A 12,518-nucleotide genomic window follows, 5' to 3' on the forward strand; every position below is an offset into this window, starting at 1 on the left:
TCAAACTGATTTCTTATCCTTCTTAGTGCCTCAAACTAGATTCTGTTCAAACATGTTATAACAAATTAGTATGTGTTTATTTTGGTGTAAAAAATTTTTGAAACCCATACGTAGTTTTTTTTATGATGCATTTTCTATGAACTTTTTGAAGAACACTTGTGTCTTATATCTGTATTGTAAGTATATGTGTAGATGCCTTTTGAGTTAATTATTATTAAAATAAACTTTCTTAGATATTTAAATGGATTTTTATTTTTCTCAGTCTGTGCCAGTATCACCAAAGGAAGGTCAACAGATTAAATCTAAAATGCATTCACAGTTTGCTGTATGATTACCTAGAATGGTGATGGTAAGACACCATTTATAGCTACTGTAGCCGGGAGTCACCAAAGTGATGTGCTAACAGTTTGATAAATAAATACACTGTTAGGTAGAAAAGTGAAAGCCACCAAAACCACCTAAGAAACAAACTGTTGGCCAGGCACGGTGGCTCACGCCTATAATCCCAGCACTTTGGGAGGCCAAGGCCAGCGGATCACAAGGTCAGGAGATCAAGACCATCCTAGCTAACACGGTGAAACCCCATCTCTACTAAAAATACAAAATATTAGCTGGGCATGGTGGGATGCACCTGTAGTCCCAGCTACTTGGGAGCTTGAGGCAGGAGAATCGCTCGAACCCAGGAGGCGGAGGTTGCAGTGAGTCGAGATCATGCCACTGCACTCCAGCTTGGGCGACAGAGCAAGACTCCATCTCAAAAAAAAAAAGAAAGAAAAAAGAAAACAAAAACTGTTGAATTGACATTGCCTGGCTAATAGAAATCAGCTTTGACATAAAAATTGAGAACTCTATTTCATTGTATATTGTCTGTTCACAAATGGCATAGGCCATAAGCTTGTCTCTAAAAACTGTAAAAATATGTGATGGTGTACTTTCTACCTTTTACTTTATCTCATCCTTTAAACATCATTTTTCATTTTTTAGGAAACAGTGCAGATCTCCGATTAGTAAAAACTTACATTGAACTTGGATTGCCTGGGGGAAGAATTGATTTTCTTATGTCTGAGAGAAATCAGGTACAATATGACAGTGTTTTCAGTGAAAACAAACATTTTTGTACCAGTTTCTACCTAAATTTTGCCTTACTACAAAATGCCTGTAATAGTAGAAATAATTTTTCTGATTTCTATGAAATTTAATATAAATGTATATCCAAAGGAAATATATATGATTTACATTTTGACTTATGATCTCTTCACATATGAAATATTTCTAGAATTTCACATTTCTATAGAAATATTTCATTAATTAAACCATTGTAAACATCTTATGTTTCATACTGGTAGTGAGCTAAACAAACAAATAATGCAAGTATTTTAAGAACACTGAACCTTTTTTTCCCCTAGAAATTTACTCTCTTTGCTCGTTTTAAGATAAAAAAATTACACTCACTAACTTCTCTATAAAACATTGAACTTAACCATACTTTCAGTACCTAAATTAAAAATGTTTATATTGTTAGTTTTTCATGTGATTATACATATTCCCAAATATAATGTATGTGCTTTGCTTTCTTTTTAGAATGATACTTTTGCTGATTTTGATAGCATGACTGATCGTCTTTTGGATGAGATAATACAGTATATTCAGATATATAGTCTAACAGTCTCAAAAATAAGGTATCTTCTTTAATATTATGCAATTTATTTTTATATTTCTATGAATTGTATAAAAGTTAAACAGAATTTGTGATAGGGTTGTCCTATTCTGAAATATAGGAGACTACAACTCAAATTAATTTATAGTGAAAAAAAGTAAAGATTTTAGGGAAAGATTTATATGAAATGTCCAAAAAAGTGTATCTGTAGAGAAGAAAATAGGTTAGTGTTTGCTTAGAGCTGGGGAAGATGGGGGATGGTGGGGATAACTACAGGATATAGGATTTCTTTTTGAGGTGGAAAAAAGGTCCTAAAATTGATTATAGTGAGAGTTAAAACTCTGTGAATATATTTTAAAACATTGAATTGTACACTTTAAGTGGAAGAAGTATAGGCTCTGTGAGTTACATATATGTATATGATATATGTATATGATATATGTATATGAAGCAACAAAAATACTTTCAAAGTTTGTATACTTTTTTTTTTTTTTTTTTTTTTTTTGAGGCAGGGTGTTGCTCAGTCACCCAGGCTAGAGAGCAGTGGCGCCATCTCGGCTCACTGCAGTCTCAAACCCCTGGGCTCAGGCGATCCTCCCACCTCAGCCCCCCAAGTAGCTGGGATTACAGGCATGCACCACCATGTCCAGCTAATTTTTGTAGAGATGGGGGTTTCACCGTGTTACCCAGGCTGGTCTCGAACTCCTGAGCTCAAGTGATCCTCTCACCTTGGCCTCCCAAAGTGCTGGGATTACAGATGTGTGCCACCTTGCCCAGCCAGATTTTATGACTGCTGTATACTTTTGTGAGTCAGTTTTCCACAAGCAAGACATGATGATTACACCAGTATGAGTTTCATTATTTAATTAGATCTTGTTAATAGATGTAGGAGAGAAGAGTCTTTGTTTCCAAAAGGGTAGAATAAACTGACTATATTCATATCCCAACTAGGTTAGAGGAAGAAGCTGGTTCTGCATACTGTAAGCTTTTGGGCAGTTTGTTTCCAACTCGAAGTATAGGGAATAAGAAGAGAGATAAGCAGTTTCTACCTAAAGTCATTTTTTAAAAAACAGAATTCTGTTAAAATATGGGAGAAGGTTCAGGTTTGTTGTTTGGAGGAAGAGATTATTTTCTTGTTGTAATTATTCATTTGTGGATCTTAAAATCTTGTTAGCTTTTATTCATTTATTTTATGATGAGAAAAATAATATTTCAACTTATTTATTCCTCCTCAAAAGTATTGTCTTTCAGGTTAGATTGTCAGTTATAATCAATCATTTTCCAGAAGTGTAATCTGGTTGATTGTAGACTGTCAGCTACCATCAGAATTCCCACCCCCACTACTTTAGGAAGTTCAGTTCGGGAGGGAAGTTTGTCCTGAGCGTCTCGCAAGATATACCTGTAAGCCAGTGTTTAGACAGCTCTCAAGCTCTCTTTCACTGCTAATTGTCCCCAGGGAATCTTATACCATCTGTTGTAAAATAACAGTAAGTAAACAGGCTATTTTGATTTAAACCAGGGGTCCCCAAACCCTGGGCCACAGACTGGTACCTGTCTGTGGCCTCTTAGGAACCAGACCTCACAGCAGGAGCACTGGGGCGGGTGAGCAAGCATTACCACCTGAGCTCAGCCTCCTGTCAGATCATCGGTGAGCATTAGATTTGTGAACGCTATTTTAAACTGCCCATGCGAGGGATCTAGGCTGTGTGTTCCTTATGAGAATCTAGTGCCTGAGTTGGAATAGTTTCATCCCAAAAGCATCCCCACAACTCCTGTTTGTGGAAAGATTGTCTTTGGTGAAACCAGTCCCTGGTGCCAAAAAGGTTGGGGACCACTGATTTAAACCATTTCATAACAAAAGTGAAGTGCTAGCTACATAAATATTATTCTTTTTGCATAATCGAAGATTCATAGTAGGAAAATGCATATATTTTACCTATGCCTTGAAAATATTGTTAGTCAAAAACTGTCCATCTTTGAAGTATAGACCAGAGAATAAGAGAAACAGATATATAATTTCCCCAAGTTGTCGTTTATAAATACAATTTCATCATTTTGTTTGAAATGATGAATTAAGAAGTAAATAATTTGTGTATGTACCTAAGAAGGCAAATATGTAATCTAGTCATTATATTATTATCTTTAATACGTACTTATATCTAAGCAGTTACAAACTATGAGTAAAAGTTTTCAGATTAATATGTTGTTTCTATAAACATTTAAATTATGTAATAATGAGGATCTTCTATACATTCTCACATTTTTTCCTTCAAAATGTGGTATATCATTTCAAAGTATCACTATACTTTTACAACATTAGAAATTTTCAAATTGTTAGTATTCACATCCATTTTATAGTGGATCAGCTTTGATTTTTGTTTCTAAAACTAATGCTGTGAGAAAATTAATTTTTTTTTCCTCTTAAAGCTTTATTGGACATTCGTTGGGCAATTTAATAATTCGTTCAGTGCTTACAAGGCCAAGGTTTAAATATTACCTCAACAAACTTCATACCTTTCTGTCTCTTTCTGGACCTCACCTTGGTACACTCTACAACAGCAGTGCTCTTGTTAATACAGGTAAAAAGTTTTATTGTTCTGTATTAAAAATATGGAATAGGGAGAAAAATATGAACTTAGTATTTTCTGGTGTTTATTTTAGAACCAGTTTGTCACATACTGGAAATTTCGTGAAATAAAAAATGTAGCTAATTTTCTGTTTTGTTATGCACATGAAATAAGTTGATAAAAGTCATTTTAGAAAATGGCTTTTCTTATATTGAGATGGTATTTGTCAAAATTCACAAGAGCATTTTTTTCTTTTTTTCATTAAATTCTAAATATTTTTAGTAAAGTTTTATCTTATAAACAGTTTTGTCATCCCATTACTTGAACAGATAACAAACACCTACATTTAATACATTATCAAGTTATAACATTTTATATAGAATATTAGCTAATTTTGGTTCAAAAAGAGTAAAGAGATATGAGAATATAATTTTTACGAAGGTGATTCAGAATTTCTGAAGAAGTTAATATGAAAGTTAAGACCCTAAATTTGATTAGTATTTATATTCTCATCAACAAATATTTGGTACTTTGATTTTTTTTTTTTTTTTTTTTAGGACAGAGTCTCACTCTGTCACCAGGCTGGAGTGCAGTGGCGCGATCTCGGCTCACTGCAACTTTTGACTCCCTGGTTCAAGCGATTCTCCTGCCTCAGCCTCCGGAGTAGCTGGGATTACAGGCATACGCCACCATACCCAGCTAATTTTTGTATTTTTAGTAGAGACGGGGTTTCACCATGTTGGCCAGAATGGTCTTGATCTCCTGACCTCGTGATCCGCCCGCCTCGGCCTCCCAAAGTGCTAGGATTACAGGTGTGAGCCACTGCGCCTGGCCTTGATTTGCCTTTTGTTTGGCTTGGTTTTTCCCTTAGATGTTTGCAAAAATGATCTATAAATTAGTCAATTGATTCCCACTGTGAGAATAAATTATATTTAACTCTGTCTCTTTTCATTGATCCCTGAAAATCTTATTGCTATTTCCTTTACCACTTCCTTTTAATGACAAACCATACCATTTTTCCTGTATCCCATTTCAAGTTGGTGATTTAAAAATACAGCCAGTTCTAGACTTCTACAGTTTGAAAAAGAGGAAATGAGAAAAATGAAGTCCTTAAATAATGTATAATAGAACCCAACATGAATCGAATGTAGTACTTTGAATTTCATTCTTCACTAAACTTTTTCCCAGATATGTTTCCAGCTATCAGTTTTAACCAATTAAAGGATTGTTTTCCTTTAATTTTCTCCTGTTTCCCTAATATTAGAAGCAATGAAAATGGAAAAGAATATTTCATAGTCTTGAAAACCAACTTGAGTGATTGAAATTTTGCTTAATTTCCTGAAGAGCAAGATGCATTTAAATATGGGTTACTGATAATATAAAAAAATAATTAATATAAAACAAATGATATTCAGCTGTTATTAGAAAACATTAAACAATTTTTCATTCTAAGATGTGGTCTGTTTGCAATTAGTCTATTATGTCATAACTAAACTGTAATTATAGACTGATCATTCTGCATAGGCATTTGACTTACTACTGTATTTGAAGTTTTTCTTCATCTTCTTCTTTATCATTTGAACAAATATATTGAAAGGTATAATTTTTCCAGTTTGTTCTTCATATGCTATTATCTGTTTCATTACTGAATGAAATAGAAATAGCAAGCTGTCCATCAACCACCATTAATTCATAATTAACCTAAGCATGCATGTTTATAAATGTTATCGGAACATGGAAATATTTTCCAAATATATTTTTGATTAGCCAACAAAAATGCTAATTTAGGCAATGTCATCTTTTGAAGTGAAATATATATTAAAATTAATAATCTTGGCATATGTTTTTATATATTTCATTTCATACTTCTATATCATATATGACTCTCTAGGTCTCTGGTTTATGCAGAAATGGAAAAAATCAGGTTCGCTTTTGCAGCTGACATGTCGAGATCACTCAGACCCTCGCCAAACTTTTTTATATAAGCTTAGTAACAAAGCAGGTAAGTATATAATAACAGTTTGGAAAATATACATGTGAAAACTTTTTAAAAAATAAACATTTAGCAAATAAATTATCAACATGTCTTTCTAGTGGTTAAAAAAAAGTGTCATTCTACTGTAATTTCCTAATAATGAAACAGCAAACTCAGAACTGAAACTAAGCAGTTGAAAGAGATTTCTTTAGTCTTTTTCACATGACTGTATTTCTCTTTTGTGAGCTACACAGCTACTTTGAAATTGCCCTAAGAATTTCAACATTTGTAACTCAGTGCCAGTTTTGTTAGTCTATGTTTTTAGACCATGTTTCTGCATGTCCTATCCCCGCTGTTCTAGCTGTCTCCCACCCCAATCCTCACCCCTTTTTATAAACTGCCACGTTTTTCTACCTTCATATTATGTTATGTTATATTATATTATATTATATTATATTATATTATATTATATTATATTATATTATATGGCTAGCAAGCATTTCTGAAAGTGTCAGAAACTAAACTATTAATGATTATCCTTTCTACAATTCTCACTACTGGATAAATCTTATTACTTATTTTTTATTAACTAATTATTAAACATATTCCCCATCTTGCATATATATTCCAGGCCTTTACAACCTAAAGTTCCCAACTGCTCCTTTGCCATTTTTACTGTCTATAAATAACCTTACTTCTGACCTTATGATCTCCCTCAATTCACCCTCATACATCTTCCCAGCATATTTTTTCCAGTGTCCTTTGAAATCCTCATTTGAGGGGAACAGACTGCCTTTATTTTCTTCGAAGAATGTTATTGCCGCTTACTTCTGAAAGTGGAGACGTAACTGAAACAGATTTTTTTCTTCCCCTCCTCGCCCCCATGTCTTCACTCCCCTGGCTACAGAGTGGAGTTTGGCAAACTTTTTTTTAAAAAAGGCCAGATAGTAAGTATTTTGGTTTTGTAAGCCATACAATCTCTTTGCAACTACTTAACAATACCATTGTAGTATGAAAACAACCACAGAAAATACAGAAACAAATGAGCATGACTGTGTTTCAGACAAACTTTATTAATTCAAAAACAGCAGTAGCCAAATCTCACAGGCCATGTCTTGCTAATACCTGCTATAGAAGCTCAGTTCGTCGTTTACTAAGTACCACCTAAAGTAAGGAAAATAGCCCTCTTGCTTTCCATTTCTAATTGCAATCATTACTCCTCCACTGTTATATAAAACCACTTTATTTGAGGCTTGTATCATCCAAGCTGTGCTACCATCTATTATTCTTTAATATAATGACCTCCTGGTTATCCCAGGAGAATAAAAGACATTGACACGGCCGGGCGTGGTGGCTCACGCCTGTAATCCCAGCACTTTGGGAGCCTGAGGCGGGCGGATCACGAGGTCAGGAGATCGAGACCATCCTGGCTAACACGGTGAAACCCCGTCTCTACTAAAAATACAAAAAAATTAGCCAGGCGTGGTGGTGGGCACCTGTAGTCCCAGCTACTCGGGAGGCTGAGGCAGGAGAATGGCGTGAACCTGGGAGGCGGAGCTTGCAGTGAGCCGCGATCATGCCACTGCACTCCAGGCTGGGAGACAGAGTGAGACTCCGTCTCAAAAAAAAGAAAGACATTGACAAATGTTTGTAACATGATTATGTTTGGGAAAAGATTCTCCTCTTGGGTCTTAACGTACTTAGATCTGGAATCATTTTTGGTAATTTGATGAGTCAACCCTTTAGATAATTCATTATGCATCACCATGCCTTTCTCAACTCCAGTGTCCCTTCATTCCACTCCATGTTGAACTCATACCCACGGCTACACTGTAGTCCTGAAATTTCAGCCAACGTTCCATTCTGTTACTGTGATGTCTTATCCTTCTTTTTCTCTCACTCCCTTCTCATCTGCTTTTTAGACTCATTTATGATTCCTGCTACTTTTTTTTTTTTTTTTTTTTTTTTGAGACGGAGTCTCGCTCTGCCGCCCAGGCTGGAGTGCAGTGGCACGATCTCGGCTCGCTGCAAGCTCCGCCTCCCGAGTTCACACCATTCTCCTGCCTCAGCCTCCTGAGTAGCTGGGACTACAGGCGCCCGCCACCACGCCCAGCTAATTTTTTGTATTTTTTAGTAGAGACGGGGTTTCACCATGTTAGCCAGGCTGGTCTCGATCTCCTGACCTTGTGATCCGCCCGCCTCGGCCTCCTAAAGTGCTGGGATTACAGGCGTGAGCCACCGCACCTGGCTAATTCCTGCTACATTTTCTTAAGTCTCCCTCCCGTTCATGGTTTTACTCCCTTCCTGACTCAAGTCTCAGACTTCATGGATTACTTTTGTCTTTCATGTATTACTCTTTGTTTTTCTATCCTAGTCATCTTGCAAATCTATATTACTGTTTTTATACCTAGCCTTTGATCTCTTCCAAAAAAGATCACACAGACATGCAGAATCAGCAGCACTGTAGGTCCACAGGGTCCCTATCTAGTTATCTTTAGTTAGCTTCCTATCTATTCCCTTAGACACTCTCCCAAAGTTTCACCTTTCCTCAAACATCAGGTTTTCACTGCTCCCTTCATTTCTCACAGTTAGCTTTGCTTTTGCTTTCTACTTTATCTTTGAAGTTCAAGACATTTCTTTCTACCTACCAACATTAATTAACCTATGTTTTCCTTTTAGTTCAGTGAAAGATTTATAATCTGTTCAAGAATAATTACCCTCTCTGTTTTGGAACTCATACCTTCTCATCAGTATCTTTAAACTCTTACTCTTTCAGTAATTAATCCTTTAATAGATAAAGTTATTCCCATTTCTTCCATCTTAATAATAATAATAAATATTTCTGTTGATCTCTTATTCTGTACTTGTCCCCCTTTCCCCTTTTTCTGAGAGTGTTGGGGGGTAGGGTTGAACCTTTTGAAAGAACAGTCACTTTATTACTCCCCCCTTTTTTTCACTTTTTTGGTTTCTGTCTGCACCACTCCACTGAAGCTTGCCAAATCCAGTGATCTCTTTGCTTTTATTTGAATATTAAGACATTTAAGACTACTGAAAACTCCTTCTTGAAATATTTTCCTTTCTCCATTTTTGTGGGATCCACCTCTCCTGGTTTTTTTCCATCTTGGCTTTTTTTCTGCTTCCTATATGGGTTTCTTTTCTTTCCTTGCCCCTTTATGAAAGCTGTTCTTGTGTTTTAGCCTCTGTCTTCTGCTCTTCTCACTCTGTACATTCTTCTTGGACAGCATCATTCCATATCCATCTTTACCATTGGTAGCTCTCAAATATTAATATATATCTCTAGCTTGTCCTCTGTGCTGTGCTCTAGACTTATACACCTAGAGGCTTACTTAGCATCTTCATGGAGATGTCTCATGGGTGCTTCAAATCTAGTGTTTTCAGACAGTGCATCTGTCCCCTGATTACTTCTCTGGATTCCACATCTACTGGAATGGCATCATCTGCCTAGTGAGAAACTTAGAAAGTGTTCTTGACTCTGCTTTCTTATTTATACCCCATATCTACAGAATTGCCAAGTTTTAAAACATTTAACCTTCTTAGTGGCTGATGGATGCTTCTCTTCTTCTTTGCCACTGCCTTAGTTTAGCCTTCATCACTTTTATTTAAATTATTGTTCAAACTGGTTACCCTGCCACATGTATACCCCCTTCTCCCCATTCTCACTTCCTCGTTAGACGAAATGATCATCCAGTGAAGCCATAGATTATATTGGCCATCTAATATCAAACCATATTGGTCTCATTTGAAAATCTTTCATGATGCTTTGTGGTATTCACAGTGAAGTTTAGATTCCATGGATAAGAGCATCAAGTCCTCTATAATCTGGTCTCTGATTCTCTGTTTTCTTTTTATCCTGCACACACACACACACACACACACACACACCCTTTGCTGTGGTCATGCTATTCATGGTTTTTGATTGCTTGCATTTTCTCATGCTTTTTGTATCACCTCATGTGTTTTTGTATCATGTGTTTTTGTATCACCTCATGTGTTTTGTACCTCCTCATGTGTTTACCCATCTTTTCAGAACTAATTCTGTTTACCTTCTAAAATTAAACTCTAATGCCACCTGCTATCAAAAGCTTTTCTTGATGCCCTATCTGATTTAATGCTCCTCTACTCTCAGAATACTCGCTGTATACCTTTGGGGTTTTTTGAGACAGGGTCTCATGCTGTCACCCAGGCTGGAGTGCAATGGCACAATCATAGCTCACTGCAGCCTTGAACTCGTGGATCAAGCAATTCTCCCATCTCAGCTGTCCCATATATACTTTTATGTCCCCAATCTTATGTCTCCAGGACTGATTTTATTAATGAATTTCAATCCTCATTTGCCTGCTAGACATCTCAATTTACATATCAAACTGAATATGTCTAAAACTGTATGTCTTCTTTGGCCGCCTCTCCTGTTGTCCTTTTTTTAATGGTACTGTTCTCTCAATTACTCCTTTGAAACACCTTAGGGTCATCTTTGATTGACCTCACTTCTTTGCCTCCCATGTCTCAAAATTGTTAATATTATCTCTGAATTTCCATAGCATTATATATCAACCTTTTACCATACTCATTATAGTTTATCTCATGTCAGTTATTTTTATGTATTAACTTCCTTTCCTTAAGTAGGATCTGTCATGACTACTCATTCCCATTTCCCACATACATATTCAGTATGTACCATAGCTCTTCTAGTGTACACCGATTGAATTAACAAATGAATCAATGATATTTTTAATATTATTTTCAATATTCAAAAACAGTTTAAATATTATATAGTAAGATGTAAATCTAGCCCATATATTCAGCGACTGGTAGTTCCAAGTCTGAAGTTACTTGAATTTGTGAACTTAAGCCCTGGCCATTTAAACCTACATCTGTTCTTATCCTCATTCCTATCACCCATGTCTTCCATTCTACTCTTGAAATATTTGATATTAATAGATTTAGTTATTGAAAATACCACTGCTTTTGAGTCCTGTTTTAGCTTTTTCAGGATTCTGCCTTAAATGTTGTTCTTAATATGAGAAAGAGATTTGGGAATGATTATTACATGTACTGTCTACTATTAGAATCAGTGAAAGGAAAATTCTCTTATAGATTGGGTTTTATGATTTTGTTTGTAATGATACAGAGCATCAATGGTAAGTTTCTTACAGTATACAGAAATATATACTTGATTGATCAAATTACAAAATATTCCTACAAAATGAAACATGGCATATGCTTCTTATGTGAGAAAAACAATATTAGCTAGAACCGTTGTGTGGAGCTATGGAGTTCATACCCTTTGCTGACAGGTTAGGAAATACGTGAAAGGCAAAGCTGAACATAAGTGTTCCTGAGGTCTATGTCTTTATACAGCATTATACAAAGTAACATTTAATTAGCAATAATAATAGCAACATAAGAATATCTAAACTGTAAAGAAAATATAACTGTAAAGATTAGTTCAATTTTTTTCTTTTAAGTTATTAATTTATTATTTGCCTTATAGTGCGTGATCTGGTTGTACTAGTCTAAAACTGTTAAGAACCAAACTCTGACATCACACATAGGTATTAGTTATAGTTCAAACACTGACTAGGCTACCTAATTTAAATAAACTCGTTTCCTTATTGGTCAATGAGAATAGTAGTATCTCATAAGATTATTAAAAGGATTAAATGAGATAATATGTGTAAAGTGATTCTGTAGAGTTCAAAACTTAGTAAATGGTAAAAAAAAAAAAATGAATAAATGACTTAAATAAGCTAGGTGCGGAAATATCATAAGCTAGGTGCGGTAGCTCACACCTGTAATCTCTCCAGTTTGGGAGGCTGAGGCAGGTGAATTGCTTGGGCTTAGGAGTTTAAGGCCAGCCTGGACACTGGGCATGGTGGCTCACGCCTGTAATCCCAGCACTTTGGGAGGCTGAGGCAGGCAGATCACCTAAGGTTGGGAGTTCGAGACCATCCTGACCAACCCCATCTCTACTAAAAATACAAAATTAGCCAGGCATGGTGGTGTATGCCTGTAATCCCAGCTACTCGGGAGGCTGAGGCAGGAGAATCGCTTGAACCTGGGAGGCGGAGGTTGCAGTGAACCGAGATCTCGCCATTGCACTCCAGCCTGGGCAACAAGAGCAAAACTCCATCCCAAAAAAAAGAAGACCAGCCTGGGCAACATGGTGAAACCTCATCTCTACAAAAAAATACAAAAATTAGCTAGGCATGGTCATGTGTACCTGTAATCCCAGCCACTCCAGAGGCTGAGGCACAAGAATTGCTTGAACCAGGGATGTGGAGGCTGCAGTGACCTGAGG

The 12,518-nt window shown here is 36.1% G+C and overlaps 1 protein-coding gene across 53 annotated transcripts in view; it reads left to right on the forward strand.

The window, feature by feature from the left end:
• Positions 1-12,518, forward strand: part of FAM135A (family with sequence similarity 135 member A) — a 147,667-nt gene that overhangs the window by 118,668 nt on the left and 16,481 nt on the right. For all 53 annotated transcript variants that reach the window (XM_047419158.1, XM_047419165.1, XM_047419169.1 and 50 more), the window contains 4 exons: positions 985-1,076; positions 1,582-1,679; positions 4,085-4,236; positions 6,116-6,226. In XM_047419158.1, the coding sequence (XP_047275114.1) occupies positions 985-1,076; positions 1,582-1,679; positions 4,085-4,236; positions 6,116-6,226 (453 nt within the window). The remainder of the gene's footprint in view (positions 1-984; positions 1,077-1,581; positions 1,680-4,084; positions 4,237-6,115; positions 6,227-12,518) is intronic.

Source organism: Homo sapiens, chromosome 6, assembly GCF_000001405.40.
Source record: "Homo sapiens chromosome 6, GRCh38.p14 Primary Assembly".
In the NCBI taxonomy this organism is placed as follows: domain Eukaryota; kingdom Metazoa; phylum Chordata; class Mammalia; order Primates; family Hominidae; genus Homo; species Homo sapiens.